The following is a 20101-nucleotide window of genomic DNA, read 5'->3' as shown; positions in this document are numbered from 1 at the left end:
ACTCTGTTAATTGCAAAATATATTTGCAGAGTGGGCCTCTTTGGCATCCACCCCTGACATGTTCTTCTTTAAAAATTCAAGTTGGGTCAATTTGGATCCTTGACAAAAAAACAAAACAAAACAAAAGACCTTATCCAAAACTCACTATGAATTCTGTCTGTGTCAGAGAACTGACTATAGTTAAAGTAAGCATGCTTAATATAACTCAAAAGACATTATGGACCCTGAACAAAGACCAAAGATCTGGGCCAGTGTGGAAAAGAGTGATCTTAGGACTTCTAGGTGGGCCAGGTAAGTGAGAAGTTCTGAGAATGGTTAGGGGGTGGAGGTAGAATGAGATCTGAAGGTTTTTATTAGTGTTATTTTGTGAAAGTGTGCATTTTATGTCTATAAAAGAAGGTGTGAGAAGTGTTCAAATTGAACTTAGAGTGAAAGTCTAGGGAGGGGTCTGCTTAAAAATATAAAGAAAAAATCTATAAATATATATATAGATAGATATAGATATAGATATATAAATATAAAGAAAAAGGCCAGCCTAGAGTTTAAGGTAAGTAAGAATTTACTGATCAAATTATAAATCTCAGTTGAGGGCACATGAATAAAAAAACACAATGTCTCTATCAGGAGAAAATCCTGGTTTTATGTGGAATATTTAGAAGATACCCAGAAGATCAGCAACTCCAATAGCCAGCTGGTTTAAGTTCCATCTTTCTAGAAACATTTGAAGCAAAAGCATGGAGAGCTGTGCCTATGCCCAAAGCAAGTGACCAAAAAAAGAGAAAAGAAGGCCAACGTTACCATGTGATAGATGGATCTAAGGACAATCTCAGTACAACAAAGCTGCTCCAGGAAAGCAGAACGCTGGTCCTGTGGGACCAGTCATGGAGGCCAAAGGAGGGACAGAATAGATGAACTACAGTCATTTCTATTTGGTTAGAAGTGTGTTTGTTTTTCCTTCAAAAACGGATGGTCACCTTGTAAATTCAATCTGGCCATAAACCACTCAAATCCGTCTTACAGAAACTACTTCTTTAGGACATCCAGCAAACTAAAAATATAAAATTGTGGGATGAGGTTGGTGAGGTCCCTTAACTAGCAATGAAAAGACCTGGGTTCTAGTCCCATGTCAATTCCTAGCTGAGGTGGGATTTAGGGTGGGGCATTTAGCCTGTCTATATATCTTCTGGAAGCCTGCAGTGGTAGGACAGTGAAAGAAGGTAGGGAAAGATGGAAAGATGATCTCCAAGGTCTCTTCCAGTTATCACAGTCTATAATTCCAGTTAGCATATAAAATAATTGAAGTCAAAATATTACTGGTAGCTACCTGTGTGGAATGGGATTGGAGCAAGGGTAGAGAGACAATTGGAAATAAAACATTTGGAGAATATTTTTGATGAGGAAAAATACAATGGCCGAAGAGATTTTTAAATGAAATATTAAGCAAGAAAGGTTCAAAATGGTATGTAAAATAATAAAATCTAGAAGGTCAGCTATCAAGACATTACTAGTAGTTGGCGTCTAAGCATGGAGGGAAAGAGTGAAGGGACTTGGGAGAACCCATGGCGTAATTATTTTATTGTTTCTTTTCCTATTGTCCTTGCTGAAAAAGCCCATGGCAAAGCTATTGGAGGCCACTCAATTCCATCTAATTCCTCTTTGTCCTTGAGGGACAAACACTCCATGCCCAGCAACAGGAGAAGGAGGTGTGATAAAGGGGCTGCCTGGGAGCCTGTTCTTCAGCTTTCTGTATAATACACCATCTGGTTTCCTGACAAAAAGTGAAGAAATCTGAGTTTGTCTTCACCCCACATGGATCATGCTACTTTCCCTGGAGATTTCAGCATCATCACTGTGGCTTCTTATTTCACCATGGCTCTCTTCTCTGTCACCATCAGCTTCAGAGTCTACAAGTCTGTCATTCAAGCTGTACAAAAATCCAAGAAGGCCATGCAATTGAACTGTTTTCAGAGTTCATAAATTTGCCATAATTATGAGAGTGACCACTTCATTGGACCTCAAAACTCATCATTTGTCTGTTTCTGGTGGAAGATCTGGCCATCTTCATGTGGCCAATGACCTCAGTTGGTGTAGTTCCATAGAACTGCCCTTCCAATCTTTGCCAAACTGTACATTTTCAGCATTCCAATGAAAAGTACAAACCCAGATTGATTATTATGTTGTGTTGCCAGGTATCAGACCAAGACAATTGTTGAAGGACCCAAGCAAAACTCTCTGGCACTCCAAATAAAAAAGCAGAATAAACACATGAAAATCACAGATGTGACAAGTTACTAAATCACCATTGAAGAGTTATAACATTGCACTTGAACCATAAAGGAATATGTCCAATGTTCACTTCCAAACTTTAGAAATGTTGAGGTTTTCTTACCTCCCTTCTCTGCAGTCTCAGTACCAAGCTCCAGAATAGGTTAAGCTGAAAATGAATTGATAGCTTAGAAACCAAAATAAGGAAAGATTCAAATTATTAGGATAAGCCAGAACCTCTAAAGGTGGTGGAGTTTTTGTCCACAGCTTGAAAAAGCAAAGGGTGAAGATAAATATGGAAATGAAAGATAAAGCACACTTCTCTGGTTCTCTAAGGCTTAAACTAGTTTTCTATCATAATTTTGTCCTTATTTTTAAGTTAAGGAATTAGGATTACCCTACAAAAGTTATTTGGGGAAAGGAGTAGAATAATTCCTATCTAGCTAACTTTTACATAATCTTTCACATGGATTATTTTTACTCTCCTCTGACCTCATCTCCTTGTCCCATAAAGTGAGCAGTTACTCTTATTATCATTTCCTTTTCCTCCACCTCACTGGTCAAAATAACTTGCTATTCTATTAATAACTCATAGGTGACACTGATAATTCCTGAATCATAAAATTCCATCTGACGAACTAGATTAAAAACAGAAAATAAAGCCATCGAGGGGAACACTCCCTTCCCTGCTTTCCCTTAGGAAAGGAACACTCACTTCCCTGCTTTCCCTTAGGAAATAGCCCCCCGACTGGGAAAGAAGGTTTCTGTCCTATTTCCTCTGGACATGATGTTGAGCTTGAATGTGAGAAAAGTGCTTCCTGCCCTCTCCTCTGTCTACCTCACTCCAAGCTTAACAGACAAGGTTGTGGTTTTCTTAGGAAATTAAATATCTGTAACTTCTATAAAAATAATACTAGTGGTCACCTCTGGGTAAATGAAGACGCAAGCAGTTCACTCTAACTCACTAAAGTATCAATTAATAAATAAGTATAGTAGATGATTCATAATTTGGAAAAACACCTAAATGGAGTAATAAAGAAAAATCTCTTGGAAGTTATATCTCTGATAAAGAAAAAATACCTAAAAAGTGAAATCTCTGCTACATTTTAAAACCACTTAAAATTGATTTAAATCCTGTGCCTGTGAACTGGAGGAAGAGAAGGTTTATATTGGGCACATTTATTGCTGCTTGATCACCAAAAATCACTTGATGAAGTCAGTGCCTCACTTAGTCTCTGTTGTAGCTGAGCAATCTTCCCAATAATACAGGTCTCCAAAGTTTTTATGATATGGAGAAAGTACCATAGAAAGATAGTGGAGTAAGTTTAAATAAATAAATAAATAAATACCTTATATCTCGCCTTCTGTAGCTGAAGATGCTCCTAAACCTAGTTTGAAACTTCATTACCTTTTAAGTCCAAAGAGTGAAGATAAGTAACAAAGATAAGGTGAGGGAACAAAGATAAGGGCAGATTCCGGTCCATGCCAACACTAATTCTGAGTCTAAGATTTATATTGTTGGTTAAAAGGAGATGTAACTTAAAATACTAATCCCTAAGTATCTCAGGTTCAGAACAACAAAAATTAAATAAGTGTTCTGATAACATAATAGGAGAAATATCATGAAGCTCACATAGCTGAACACTGTTCTTACCTAACTTTGTTTTCCTTTTTTACGGAGACACAGAACCCACAGAAGCAAAAACGAATGGGTTTTGTATAATCCTGGCCTTCTCCTAGAGCCTAATTATTTGTTCTCAGAAACTTAAACCACTTCACTATACTGAAGCAGGCCAGAAAGTTTGCAGGTAGAGCTGAGCCAAAGAGTCTGGTTTGGTTATAGGAGCCAAAACACGAGTCGACCCATTTAAGCTGACTAGACACATAGGCAAAAGAAAATACATAAATTTATATGTGTGTGTGTGTGTGTGTGTGTGTGTGTGTACGTGTTGGTCTGCATAGTGTTTGTGCATATGGCCACTGGGGCTGACAGGGAGTAACAGTGTATTTTCACTGGCTTGTCTTTTCATTGGCTCATCTTTTCTGTTGGAGGCAGAGCAGCAGTGCTAGATCCTGATGACTTTAATTTGCCTACCTTGTTTCTTGACAAGCAGGAATAGAAATTACACTAGTCTGTGTTATTTCAGTAACTGATACAACTCTTTAGGAGGTTCCCCACCCCCACTTAAAGCATCTTTTTGTTAAACTCAAATAAGCTTCCAAGATTCTGTATGGTATTTGAGGTAAAGAGAGAGTTCTTATTATTTATGTATTCAATAAATGCTTGCCCTTCCTAATATTTACACTAAATTGTGCTATGGCACTATGGGGGGGAAAGCAAATAAAAAAGAAACATGCAGAACACATCAAATCTTAAATTCTAATTGTAGGATAAGAAAATATTTATTCATAATGTAATATTCCCTTTAAAAAAGCACAAACTTTGGGAGGCTGAGGCGGGTAGATCACGAGGTCAAGAGATTGAGACCATCCTGCCCAACATGGTGAAACCCTATCTCTAGTAAAAATACGAAAATTAGCTGAGAGTGGTGGCGTGTACCTGTAGTCCCAGCTACTCGGGAGGCTGAGGCAGGAGAATCGCTTGAACCTGGGAGGCGGAGGCTGCAGTAAGCAGAGATCATGCCACTGCTCTCCAGCTTGACAACAGAGTAAGCCTCCATCATAAAAAAAAAAAAAAAAAAGCACAACTTTCTTTTTTCTTTTTTTTTCTGTCTCTCAAAATATATGGATTTAGATATACGTATATGGATAAATATATAAAAATAGATAATATATAGCTATAGATAAATAACTCTCCCTGATACATAAGAATTTTCTTTCTGTGTCCCATATAGATGTATTTGCACACGCAGGTCTGGACCTGGATAAAATAGTAAAATGGGTGGCCTCCACCTTTATGGCTTCCCTACATTCCTGTAACTTTTCTGTCCTTTCAGGGTCTATTTCACTCATGATTACCCCGACTGCCAAGGGTCTTCCACCATGCCTCTTCACTCAGCAGTCCATTCTGGACCTTGCAAATTCTCTCTCCTCCCAACTCCACTGTGCCACTGCAACTCCAGTGTGCAGCTCTCTGAAGATGGCTACTCAGATACACCAATTTCGCCAAAGCTTAAGAAGTGCTGGTAGATTACCAGCAGGCAGCATGGTATGCTGTGTGGAAGCATTGTTCCTGGGTTGAGTTAAACAATTGTGTGGAATCCTGGCTCAAGCATTTACCAGTTCTGTGATATTGAACAGATTACTTAACTTCTTCATGTTTCGGTTCCTTTTAGGTCAGATTGGGTAAAGGGGGATGGTGGCTAATATCATATTTCATCTAATCTATGATGCTTTCTTATTGTCACTCTCACCATGATTTTATGTGCCACTTACAGAACAAGAATACTCTAAATTATGTTTGTAAGATGTCACTGATTGTAGGCCGGGCGCGGTGGCTCACGCCTGTAATCCCAGCACTTTGGGAGGCCGAGGCGGGCAGATCACGAGGTCGGGAGATCCAGACCATCCTGGCTAACACGGTGAAACCCCATCTCTACCAAAAATACAAAAAAATTAGCCGGGCGTGGTGATGGGCGCCTGTAGTCCCAGCTACTCGGGAGGCTAAGGCAGGAGAATGACGTGATCCCGGGAGGCGGAGCCTTCAGTGAGCCAAGATAGTGCCACTGCACTCCAGCCTGGAGTCTGGGCGACAGAGGAAGACTTTGTCTCAAAACAATAACAACAACAAAAAAAGTCACTGATTGTAAAACATCCCAATTTTAGAGTGCTAAAATGTGAAAAGTGTCTTAAAAATGATTAAATACAATAGTACCAATTTCATAAGTATTATATATTATATATATTATATAGCCATACTATATTTAATAAGCATTAAGAGAGCCAATGTACAGTCCTTAGCATAATGTTAGGCACAAATTAAGTGCTTAATTGTCAGCTAATATTAAGATCTTACTCCTGCCAGACAACAGACTTCATTTTAACAAAAATTTCTTTAAACAGTATGCCTTAACATACTGATGGAGAATAGAGGCTTAGAGCTGGTGGAAACATACCTTAAGGTGACTTAGACTTTTCCATGCCCTCTTATAGGACTGCTCCAACTTAAAGGCCTAGTGACACTGATATGGCTTGGCTATGTCCCCACCCAAATCTTATCTTGAATTGGAGCTCCCATAATTCCCATGTGTCATGGGAGGGACCTGGTGGGAGGTAATTAAAACTTGGGGGCGGGTTTTAATGATGCTCTTCTCATGATGGTGCTGTCCTCATGATGGTGAATAAGTCTCACGAGGTCTGATGGTTTTATAAATGGGAGTTTCCCTACACAAGCTCTCTTGTCCACCGCTACCTAAGATGTGACTTTGCTCCTCCTTTGTCTTCTGCCATGATTGTGAGGCCTCCCCAGCCATGTGGAACTGTGAGTCCATTGAACCTCTTTCCTTTATAAATTACCCAGTCTTGGGTATGTCTTTATTAGCAGCGTGAGAACAAATACAGACATAAATCTGGGATCAGAACTTTTGTCACAATTTAGACACATTTTTCACTATATTAAACTTTTTAATCACTTTCATAATTAGATGAAGACATAAAATATAATACCAGGTTTATAAAATATATATACATACCAGTTTCCTGGCTTACTAGCTTTCTTATGCTTTTTAAACCTGCAAGTTTATTTCACCTACAATTTATTTTAAGTTTATTTTACCTATGATTGTTTATTCTCAGGGTACAAAGACAAAACAGGGAAGAACACCTTTACACTACCAGAAATCATAGTTATCTCTCAGAAGAATGAATTATAGAACAAGAATATTTTAGCACTCACATTGAATGAGACAAATGCCCCATCTTTAGAAATGGAATCCTGTTATCTTTATGTTAAATTCAACCCAGAAAACCTTAAGATAACACTCATCCAGGAGTTGAATATGATGTACATAAAAAATGTAATACCCATACAACATGCTGCAAAGCATCATTTTTAAAAAATTGATCTTCAGTTTAGTCTGCAGCTTAATAACTGTTTATGCCAGTATGTCTGTCAGCTTAGTAGTATACTAAATCTGTTCATGTGATTCTCTAATGACTTGACTTCAAGTGCCACAGTTGACAATATGTTGCCACAATTTCATAACTTCATAAAAGCTTTTATCATGCTCTTGCCAAAAATTTAGACTGTGTCTATTTATAACCAATCAACCATTTTCAAGCAGTTGGTCATTTTTATCTCTCACATGAGCAATACGCTGTAATCTGAAGTGGTTAAGAGATTGCTTAAAACTTTATATACACTTGCCAAAGACAAGTTGATCAATTATTTTAGACCTATACCTGGGTTATTCATACCAATATTCACCAGCTCAGACAGAATTTAGGAATAGCGCTTACCAGAAGACAGTTATTCCAATTTGCAAGCCCAAGGCTGGAGTAATCATACTCATCCTACATGTAGCACTCTCTTCTACTGTACTACCATTTTCATATACCTACTTGAAGTATGTATTAACATTGTAGGCTCTCCTGTTAAATAATATACTTACTTGAAGACAGAAATTGCGCCTTATCCCTCTTGGCACATTCCTTTACCCATCCTGCTTTTTCTCCACAATGCTTCATACACAGTGGAAGTTTAAATTTGTTCAATTAAATTATATATGTCTCTACCCTTCTGCAAATTGTACTTGAAGGAAAAAAACACATAATTCTACACAAGTTCTTGAAATCAAAAGCCTAGGAAGACTTGACAATGAATGTACTTTTAAGTTTCTCCTAGTTAAGAGAAGCCTTGGGGAGAAAAGAAAATATGCCACACCAAATATAATAGAACTATTACCAACAAATGGCTCTTATTAACTGGAATGATTTTTGCTTGGTACCCAGCTACGGGAGATTGGAAAGATCCTCTAGAAGGATTATAAATGTAATGCATTTTATAAGACAAGGTGGGTCTACGAATGCTACTCAGAACACTCCCTAGACCACAGTTCTTCAAGGAGATAACTATGTTTTCAAGAAACTCTGAAGCCGTCTGCTTCCTGCTAGTTAGAATCAAGTCAATCAACTAAAGCAGAAAAATACCCTAGAGGTTGACACTGGTTCCAAGGAACTTGAAGGAACCTTAGAGGTCATTCAGTGAGTCTAGTCAACTCCTTCCTTTTGCAAATGAGAAATTTAAGCCTCCGGCTGAGTATATGACTTGACCAAGTTTCTAAAACTTATCAGAGACAGAACTGTGAAAAATCCAGATATTTGGATTCTTAAAAATATTTTTACTGGGTTGTAATTTTAGTGTAGCTTTGACTAGGAAACAAACTAATTGTAATTTATCTCTAGTACATTTTACATGTGGCAAAAATAATACATTCTACAGAGTATGAGACCACAGAATAACATGTCAATTTAGGGTCAGATCATAGGCTTTGCACATAAACCCACTCACAATAACATTATTCAAGGACATCTAGCCTCAAATGTTGCATTACTTCTGTAGGTCCTACTCTAAATATGCCTGGAATCTTCTCCCCAGCCCCACAGCCTTTGTCTTGGCCTCTATCACCTTTCTTGGGTCCCTACAACAGGCACTAAACTGCTCTCTCTTCTCTAAGACTCTCAAACATTGCAGTCAACTTTCCCCTTTGCCACAAAAAGCTTGGTTCTTTATATTATCCCTTGCTTTAAAACCTCCATAAAATCCAACATCAAAGGGCTTTCAAAAACTGGCTTCTACAGCTACTCCCCATCCCTTGACATCACCCTCTGAACTTGTCACGCTTTTCTGAACACCTACTTCCTACCTTGGCACATGACGTTCCTCAAGCCGGAATGATCTTCTGTCACTCTCATCCCATACTTCACACTAATAGAATTCTCCACCTGAAGACACTGAAGGCCAGTCCATATGCCAATATCTTAATGAAGGTTTTTCTAATTCCTCCATACAGAGTTAGTTGCTTCATTCTAAAATAGTTGTTTTCATAACATCACTTGGCTTGAAGGAAAAAAGAGGCCACTAGAAGGTATTAAATAGGAGGGTAATAGTAATCAGGTTTGTGGATTTAAAGGATTACACTGGCTTCTGTGAGGAGCAAGAGGAGATGCAGAGGAGACACGTGAAATATTACTGAGTTTGTTCAGATGACCGAGTCTTCAACTAGTGGGGCAGTGGATGTGGAGAGAAGTGTGTTTACAAGATTTGGTGATGAATTAGATGACAGAAATGAAGAGCAAAGGGGGGTATCAAAAATGACCCCGAGCTTTCTAGCGTGAGCAAGTGGGGAGAGTGTCATGTTACTTACTGAAATGGAAAACACTAAAAGAAGACCTGGTTGTTGTTTATTTATGCTTATTTGTATTTTGTTTTGTTTTTTAGTAGGAGCACGGGGAAATTATAAATTTAGTTTCGGATGTTGAAGTTGAAGTGGCATCTATTGATACCAAAGTAAGAGCTGTTGATATATGGGAGCTAGGGTGTTAGGGACGATGTTCTATATTTGTGATATAATTCCAGAAGGTATTGACATACAAATGGTGATTCTACATGAAAGAGATTGAATCTGCCTGGGGAGGGAGAAAAGGAGAGGGCCTGGTACTCATCTTGCCACTGTTCTTTTTTCTCCTTTCTTCCCAAAGGGTTGAATATACCTGCTTACCACGACTGCCTCCTTATTTCTCACACAATTTGGCTCTGCTCTTCCTACTCTATGAAAATTATACTTAATTGGCTTCAAAGACTCCTAGTTGACATAATCAATGGTGTTTTCCATTCCCCATTCTGCATAGCCTGTCTAAAGTATGAGATACTGCCAATCACTACTATTATTTTGAAAACTCATAACTTGTTTGACTTCTATGACTCTATCATATTCTGGTTCTTTTCTTTACCTTTCAATTGCTTTGTTTTCTGTCTCTTTTACTGTCTTTTTTCCACCTTTCATCACCTAAATCTCGTGTGTCCTACATCTCACAGCTCAGATATTTGCTTTTCCATTTTTAGCATTTCTAAGCCTTCAGGTGATATTTACCTCTCCAACTTTGGTTGTTACTTATATATAAATGGTCACCATTTTTTGTTACTAGTCCTGATCTCTCTCATAAAATTGAGTCCTGCATTTCCACCTGCTTATTAGAAGACATGCCACTATCTCAAGAGCAATTCACTTAAAACAAAGCCTATTTTCTACCCTTAACCCCAACCTGACCTATTTTCCAGATTTCTCATTTATGATAATCATTATCCCTGATACGCAGGTTCAAAATCATACATTAAGCCAAAAGGTGTCATTTTTAAGTTGTCCCTCACTTCCCATGTCTAGCAATCTCAAAATTATATTGATTCCTTGTTCTCTTCCTAATGTTTCTCCTTCCAGCACTGTAGCCACTACTACACACTAGATTTTTTATCATCTTTTCTTAGGCAAGTGCAAATTTTCTAATCAATTGTCGTATCTTCAACCATTTTCTTTCCCACTTACCCTGTTACTACCTGCGTTATCTTCCTAAAACACTACTTCACCATTTCAATCCTCATCTCAAAAACTTAAAACAGCTCCTTGCATCTATGACAAAAAGCCCACAGCCTTCCAAAATCCGGCTTTATCCTACCTTTTAAGCTCTAATACCCACTACTCTCCTACATCAACTCTGTGTTTAAGCCCAGCAAAGAGGTCTTCTCATTGTCCTTCACACACACAGCATGCATTTTCCAGCCTCTGATGCATCAATTTCTCACCTCTGAAACACGTGCTCACTAGTCTCTAAATGCATATACCTTTCAAAGGAGAACACTAATTTCACCTCCTCCATGAGGACTCAGACCATCCCCATCTGGAAATGATTACTTCCTTGTTTGGAATTGACTGTCCCTGCCACTTAATAGGCATTTAACATTCAGATTTGTTTCATTTCCTCAACCACTGGTTCAATCCCTAAGTACAGAACTTTACACAGTATGTATTGGTTGCCCAATAATAGTTTTGATAAATATTCAGAATCAAATTTTAAAATTTCAAGTTATTAAAGAATATGATATTCCTACAGTTCCACTATTAACTGTAATCATTATTGCATCATTATTAGTTCAGAAAATAGTTCTAGGAGATCTCCAAATTTTGAAAAGTTTACTAGATGGATTTATATTCTAAGAAACAGATTTGCTCCCTGTAGTTCTAAAGTACATAAAGAAGGAAAGAAATTAGATACTGACATCATCAAAGCATAATATTAAAACAATATTTTAAAAGAAATGCAAAAAAAAAAAGGAAAATTTCAAGTTACAACAAATACCATTAACCACATTTCACTGGCTGTGATTCAGATTTCATGTGAGTTAATTCAAATTTCATAGTAACATGATTCCATATAATAGCAGAAATAATCACTTAAAAGGGTGGTGAATGCTTAATATAATCCAACTAAAATCACTACGTATATCCTCAATTAAGAGAACAAGCTAGTTTGATAAGAATATAGATACTTTGGGGGAATATTTATGGCACTTATTAACTGGAACCTTGTTAGTTAAGTCACTTCTATTATCTGGCAAATCTGTCTCTACCTAAATAAGAAAACACGAACTTTATTAAATTTTCAGTATTTCTGGATGCTCTGAAGCCCCAAATAGTCCGGAAATCCTCTGAGATTGTGTGCTTCAGAAATTCAGCAGGCTGCTGATGCTTTGCCCCTTTAGGCTGTGCTCCACATCTGCAGAGCCTGAGGCTCGACCTCATTTTGCTCTGCAGTATTTGATAAGTGATCAACTGTAAATGAGGTGACATACTCTATTGGGTATGTTTAAAAATCAACTGAGGTTTTCTAGATTATTTCAAAATAAATCCTTTTTGAATTTGTTTTTGTTCTAAGATGTTTCATTGTTGATTATTGAACTGGTCCAAAAGATCTTTGAGGACATTTTTCCCCCTATGTTGTATACCTCTGCCTGGAATATATTATCCTATGCCAGATATAATGAAGCCACTCAATAAATAGTCATTAAATTAAATTCTTATTCTTGGAAAAAATAAATTGTATCCAAGGAGGATAGGGTCTAAATTATTGGGCTCTCTTTGAAGTGGAAAATTTTGTTTCAGAAGTCAACTAGGTAAAGAACTACAGTGGTTCTCCTGGGATGACTTTTGAAATGAAAGTTGACCAGGAGGGAAATCACGATGACAGACCTTAACTCTATTGGATTTAATCACCTATGAAAGATCTTCCCTGTTGCGCACATCAGGAGGGTTATTAATTGGATGCAGGCCACTCAATCGGTTTCAAAAGTCAGCTCTCTCTGAAGGAATTGGAAAGAATGGTTTCATAATTCCTATAGTAAGAGGAGCTGCCACAGTAAAATAGCAGCAATTGGGGTTAGGTAGGTCCCCTTTCCCATGCAGATTCCCCAGTGTTTTTATTTCTTGGTTTTGTTAAAATAAGATCCAAGTTATGGTTTCATAATTTCCCCTAGCCCTGAAATGAAGTTACTACAGCCGTTAAACTGAAATAACTCCACTAGCTGCATAGAAAACCTTTGTCCAAGATTCAAACCAAACTGAATGTTTGAGGGTTTGGGTTGTTTTGAGTTTTCTAAACTTCAAGCTTAAATTTTCATGAACCTTACTGCACTTCCTGATATTTTCTGGGAGAGAGAGTGGAAAAAGTGACCTCTTTAGTGCCAGTCTTGGAAACAGCCCTCCAAGTGTTGTAACTAACTGCATGAAGGGAGATAAGCCTAGATAGAAATATAGTAAGATGATCGACTCTGAATCTATTTTTAAAAATTATTGCTGAAGCCTGCTCTTAAATTGTAGTCTTCTAGTCCCTCCCATTTAATCAAAACATTCAGTAGCAAAATTGGAGTGCTATGTTTCTAAAACCTGTTGTCACAATGACAAAAAATAGCCAGCAATTTTAGTTCAGAATTATATATTACCTATCATAACAATAACAACTAAGTATGAAACAACCATGGCAATATCCTCAATGCCATCTTAGAAATGAAACTGCATGGAAGAGAGGGGGATGACCAGATTTAAACCTTTAGGCTTGGAAGATTCATTGAATGGAAATGGAATGGAAAATGGAATTGCATGAAGAAAAGAGGTTGTGTGAGAAGCAGAGGAAGGAGGAAAAATAAGACTTGGCAATGCCATTTGGTGTGGTAAAGACAGTGAAAGCCATGGATTACACATACAATTAAGGATTGTGTTATTCTCAATAAGTTTATTGCAGTCTATTCCTGGCTTGGATGGATGCTAGTTCAGAGACCACCTCCATCAATGGAAGCTTCAGATTTCCATATTGATGGTCCATGTCAAGAGAAAGTTTCAAGGAAGACTAATCACCAAAAATCAAGGATGAAAGAGGTAATATAATCACAGCATCACTACCACCATCTCATTCTTCATCACGGTGATGGGTAAGTTAATCATACAGAAATTCACACTGTGACTAAATATGAAGTCAAATGCACCTGAAGTCACTTGGCATGAGCTTTTGCTTAATAAAGAAACACCATACTGATACAGTCAGAGCCTCTCTGTTAAGAATTATAAAGGGAATCATTTGGGAACAAGCCAAATTCTAAATGATGTTCTCTATGAGCCCTGCTGAACAACCTTATCTTGGAAATCCTGGGTCCTAGGCCTCTTCACTTCTCCCAATATAGAGCCCCCATAAACCAAACGTAACTTGGACATTTCTCTAAAGGCAAGGCTGGTTCATCCGATTCAGATTCTTAATCACCACGACCACCACCAATATTTGGAAATAAAAAATATTTATTCAATTCTTTGTAAATATTATCGTGAACAGTCAAAACTACCCACAACTACTCTGTAGGTTGGAACATATTCAAACAAAACTGACCACAGGGTGATCATCACGTGTGGGGAGTTTTTTTTTTGTTTGTTTTTGTTTTTTTTTTTTTGAGACGGAGTGTCACTCTGCCGCCCAGGCTGGAGTGCAGTGGCGCGATCTCGGCTCACTGCAAGCTCCGCCTCCCGGGTTCACGCCATTCTCCTGCCTCAGCCTCCCGAGTAGCTGGGACTACGGGCGCCGCCACCACGCCCGGCTAATTTTTTGTATTTTTGGTAGAGACGGGGTTTCACCGTGTTAGCCAGGATGGTCTCAATCTCCTGACCTCGTGATCTGCCCGCCTCCGCCTCCCAAAGTGCTGGGATTACAGGCGTGAGCCACCGTGCCCGGCCAGGTGTGGGGAGTTTTAAAGTCATGGCAAAAGGGAAACTGCTAGTCACACACAACAGGAATACTGAAAATCAAGAAAACTGATCAAATTACGCATTGGTACAGGGGGAAGAAGTGCCAATCTGGAGCTGTGGAATCACCGGGAGTCAGTACTGGATAGCCGGGGATAAAATAAGTTATGTAAGCCAGGTACATTGGCACACAACTGTAGTTTCATCTACTAGGAAGACCGAGGCAGGAGGATCGCTTGAGCCTGGGAGTTCTGGGCTGTAATGTGCTATATACAAATGGGGTGCCCACACTAAGTTAGGCATCAACATGGTGACCTCCCAGGAGTGGGAGACCACCAGGTTGCCTAAGGAGGAGTGAACCACTCAGGTTGGAAATGAAGCAGATCGAAACTCCCGTTCTGATCGGTAGTGGGATCATGCCTGTGAATAGGCAACTCTAGCCTGGGCAACACAGTGAGACCCCATCTCTTAAAAATAATTAAATAAGAAAACAAAATGAGTTATAAATCAACTTTTAACAACTATTCCTGCATCAAAGCATATTTCCTATATGCATTGTGATATAATCAATAATAGAGATCACTTATTTTTAGTTCTTTTTTTATAACAAGGCTTAATTTAGAAAACTCAGAATACAGATAGGCACAAAGAAAAGTAAATACATGTATTTTAACTACCTATAATCCCACTACCCAGAAATAACACTACTGATATTTTACCATATACTTGGTTCTCCCTGTGTGTCTGCATCCACAGATTCAACCAACTGTGAATGGAAAATACTCTAAAACAAAACAATTTAAAAAACACAATAATAATAAACATTTTAAAAATTACATATAACAACTATTGACATAGCATTTATATTGTATTAGATGTTGTAAGTCATCTAGAATTGATTTAAAGTATCTCAGAGAATGTGCATAGGTTATATGCAAATATTACACCATTTTATATAAGGGACATGAGCATCCCTGGATTTTGGTTTGGTGTCCTGGAACCAATGTCCTGTGATAGGTAGGAATGATTGTATAGTCTTTGAGACACACAAACATATACACGACCAGAAAGAAATATATGCTTGATGTTTTTTAAATGTATCTTACAATGGTTTTGTATTTTTCTTTAAATAATATAGTAAATAATTATTTAAATAATATATTAAAAGCTTTTTTCCGTGTACAAATATATAGTCATGTGTTGCATAATGACATTTCAGTCAATGACAAACTGCAGATATGGAGGTGGTCCCATAAGATTATAATGAAGCTGGAAAATTCCTATTGCCTAGTGATGTCATCGTGCAATGCATGACTCACATGTTTGTGGTGATGCTGGTATAAACAAATCCACTGCAGTCCCAGTCATATAAAAGTACAGTGCATATGATTATGTACACTACATATTTGATCATAATAAATGATTATCTTACTGATGTATGTGTTTACTATACTTTTAATCATTATTTTAGAGTATACTCCTTCTACCTCCAAAAAAAAGTTAACTGTAAATAGTCTCAGGCAGGTCCATCAAGAGGTATTACAGAAGGCATTGATATTATAGGAAATGACAGCTCCACGAGTATTGTTGCCCCTGACGATCCTGCAGTGAGACAAGATGTGGAGGTAGAAGCCAGTGATATTAATGATCCTGACCCTGTGTAGGCCTAGGCTAATGTGTACGTTTGTGTCATAGTTTTTGAACAAAAAATTATAAGTAAAAACATAAAAAATTTAAAAATAGAAAAAAGCTTACAGAATAAGGTTATAAAGAAAATATTTTTTGTATAGCTGAACTATGTGTTTGTGTTTTAAGCTGTTATTACAAAAAAATAAAATGTTAAAAAATTTAATTCATAAAATAAAAAAAGTAAGCTAGGGTTAATTTATTATTGAAGAAAGAAAATTTTTTAAAATAAATTTAGTATAACCTAAATGTAGACTTCTTAAGTCTACAGTAGTATAATGTCCTAGGCCTTCATATTTACTCACCACTCACTCAATGACACTGAGAGCAACGTCCAGTCCTGCAAGCTCCATTCATGGGAAGTGTCCTATACAGGCATACCATTTTAAATATATATACATATATATATTTTGTTTATATATACATTATTCTGTTTATATATATATAAACTGTATTTTTACTGTACCTTGTCTATGTTTAGATATGGCTAGATACACAATCACAATACCATCATGTTGCAATTGCCTACAGTATTCAGTACAGTAACATGCTGTACAGGTTTATAGCCTAGGTGAAATAGTCTATACCATATAGTCTAGGTGGGTAGTAGGCTATATTATCTAGATCTGGGTAAGTACAATCTATAAAGTCCTCAGAACAAAATCACCTAACAAAGCATTTCTCAGAGCATGTCCCTATTAAGTGGCATATGATTGTAATTATGTTTGGACTGCATTTTCTGATAAGGACTTATAGAGTTCTAACTTTACTTTTTCCCAAGCGATTAGACCATTATGTTAAACTAGTCATTGTACAAAATAACTTTTCCTCATTGATTTGAGTGTAATTTTTAGCTTATAATAAATTATAACAAACAGTTGGGTATATTTCTGAGCTTTCCACTCAATTCATTTATCTACCTATTCCTGGTTCCATATGTACCATATTTTAATTACTATAGCTTTAAAAAAATGTTTTGCTATCTGGAGGTAAGACCCTATGCAGAATTATTTCCCTAAAAATGTATAGGCTATTTTATCAGATGATCAAGTTTTTAAAAAATCTTGTGTTTAAAAATTTGGGAAGTTAAAAAATTTATTTCCACACTTCTCTTTGCATAGAAAAACTGAATTCTGATTTATTTAAACACCCATACTTTGAATTTCTATTACTAAGCTAATTATTATAATTATTGTTATTATTGTTTTTGAGGCAGGGTCTTGCTGCTGCCCAGGCTGGAGTGCAGTGATCTGATCTTGACTCACTGCAGCCTTGATCTCCTGGGCTCAAGTGATCCTCCCACCTCAGCCTCCTGAGTTTGGCTAATTATTAACTGGTACAATAAGCCCCTGATTATTACATCAACAGTGTCAGTGTCCAACAATACAAAGCACACAGATACACCATTTTAGAGAAGTCTGGATGAAGTTGCAAAAATCAACAAAAAGAAAATAATTCTCAGAGGTGGAAATTATATGTCATACCCCCTTCCATATTAAAGAACTGCTAGGGCTTAACAGCATAAGCAAGACTTGATGATGTGAAGAGAGAAACAAAATCAAAATAATAATGGTAAAGTGTCAATCTTCATGGTTTATCTTCTGCAACTTTCTATGTAATGTCATCAGCAACATCAGTAGCAACAGCATCAAAACACTTATTAGGCATCTGTATAACTTCAAATTATACAGGGATAACTACTGCTTGAATGAATTTGACAGCATAATTGTTGCCTTTTAGGGAACATTCATATGTGCTCATGTCACAACATATGAAGGGCTTAAAGATACAAAGATTGTCTTCAACAAGAAAAACATAATTTTTGGCAACTTCCAGGACACATCATTTCTTTCCATCATTGGCAAGACCTTGGCTGGAATTCTTTTGGATCAGCTACTACTCAATGATGGCAACTGTGCTTCTAGAATAACTGTGGCTTTAAACCACAGGGCAACTGACATAATCTTTGCTCTATGTCAAAAATAAGAAAAATAACAAAAACAGTCTGAACAGAACTAAATTTATTGACTGCACTGAAATTTTAATGTTACTTGCAGACCTTAACTATAAATTACTAGCTAGCTTTTTGTTCCTATGATTTGTCAGTATCTAAGAAGATGATGGGACTGTACACATTAGTCAATTAATCAACAGTCATTTAAACATCTACTATACAACCAGCACTATAGAGACTATAGTTATTTGTATGATTATCTACTTAATGACTGCTCTTCCATGAGAATACAAGCTCCATACAGAAAGGCCTGAGGCTATTGTGTCTACCCCTGAATTCCCAGTGCCTAGTAGAGTGCCTGGTATATATTATTAGAGGCAAAACAAACATCTGTTGAGCAAATAAAGGTACAGTATAAGAGAATTACAAGACACAATTCCTTACATTTCCCCACTGTGGATACAAAACATAAAATGATTATATCTTATTATCTAGCTCAATGTTCAGAGTTCCTACTGTTTGGAGCAGTGCTGTATAATAGAACTTTCTGTAATGATGAAAATGTTCTATATCTACACTGTTCAATATGGTAGCTACTAGCCACATGCAGCACTGGAGCACTTGAAATGTGGCTAGCGCAACTACTCTATGCTACCCCATTCTCATCTTTTTCTACAAAGCCTCAGTAATTTTTTATTAAAAATTCAGTTAAAAATGTCTAGAGTTTCAAGTAGAGAATGGGGCCCTAACTTAGGTTTTGCCATTAAAATGTCCCTTTTCCCCACTACCCCCAAAATATACACAAATAAAAGATATTCAGTAAAGATGCTCAATAGGTTGCTTACATGGAAATTCCACTTCTCTAAATTGTAGTTAAAGAAGGGCAGAAGAGAGTTTAGCCATCTTTGGCTATCTAGAAAACTAATAGCATTTGAAGTACACAACATTAAAAGATAGGATTATAAACTCAATCATTAATAATACAAATAAATCCATAGAAATATCTCCATAATAGTGTTAGACAAGCAGGCCACACTGCATCCCAAGCAGTGCTATATAGCTAACTGGACTGTTACATTGCAGAACATTCATTCAATTATTCAATACTTTTTTTTTTTTTTTTTGAAGACAGAGTCTTGCTCTGTCACCCAGGCTGGAGTGCAATGGCCTGATCTCGACTCACTGCAACCTCTGCCTCCTGGATTCTAGCGATCTTCCTGCCTCAGCCTACCGAGTAGCTGGGACTACAGGCACATGCCACCATGACTGGCTGATTTTGGTCTCTTTAGTAGAAATGGGGTTTCACCCTGCTGGCCAGACTGGTCTTGAACTCCTGACCTCAGGTGATCCACCTGCCTCGGCCTCTCAAAGTGCTGGGATTACAGGCATGAGCCACTGTGCCCAGTCCAATACATATTTATTGAATGCTTACTGTGTGCTAAATACTGTTTAAAGCACTAAAGGTATAGAAATGAACAAACTGATATTAATAAAATTCCTGTCCTCATGGCACTTACATTTTGGTGGAGACAGCCAATGAACCAAGAAATAAGTAAAATATATAGCACACAGGGGGATAAAAGTTATATGGATAAGTAAAAATCAATTGTTGGGGAGCAGGATATAGTGAGGGAAAGGGCTGGCCAAGCAAGGCCTCACTGAAAAAATGATATTTGAGACAAGACTTGGAGGTTAAGAGGAAGGCCAGGCAGATATCTGAGGAAAGAGAGTTTCAGGCAAGGAAACAGCAAGTTCAAGGAATTTGCATGTTCAGGCAACAGCAAATATGCCAATGTGCCTGGGGCTGAGTAAGTAAGTATAGGAGTGTTAAAGAAGAGATTAGAGATGGAAAGAGGGTACCAGATCAAGGAGAGGCTTGGAGATTACTGTATAAGGATGTTAAATATAATCCTAAGAATAATGTGAAACCTGTTGAAGGTTTTTAATGAACAAATGAAGT

At 37.3% G+C, this 20101-nt stretch overlaps 2 pseudogenes, besides 1 other annotated feature; both read left to right on the top strand.

Annotated features, from left to right (window-relative positions):
* LOC100418882 (reticulon 3 pseudogene) lies at window positions 1613-2258 on the top strand (annotated as a pseudogene).
* Window positions 5367-5536: an enhancer, noted in NCBI's record as "experimental_22907 CRE fragment used in MPRA reporter constructs". NCBI's record gives its function as "activates a minimal promoter by MPRAs in K562 erythroleukemia cells, with activity observed for both the introgressed and non-introgressed 12:102620615 variant alleles {active_cell/tissue: K562}" and the evidence as "EXISTENCE:reporter gene assay evidence [ECO:0000049][PMID:34662402]".
* RN7SL793P (RNA, 7SL, cytoplasmic 793, pseudogene) lies at window positions 14675-14970 on the top strand (annotated as a pseudogene).

Source organism: Homo sapiens, chromosome 12, assembly GCF_000001405.40.
Source record: "Homo sapiens chromosome 12, GRCh38.p14 Primary Assembly".
NCBI lineage: Eukaryota > Metazoa > Chordata > Mammalia > Primates > Hominidae > Homo > Homo sapiens.
The sequence above is the reverse complement of the archived record's forward strand: the minus strand, read 5'-3'. Positions and strand labels throughout refer to the sequence as shown.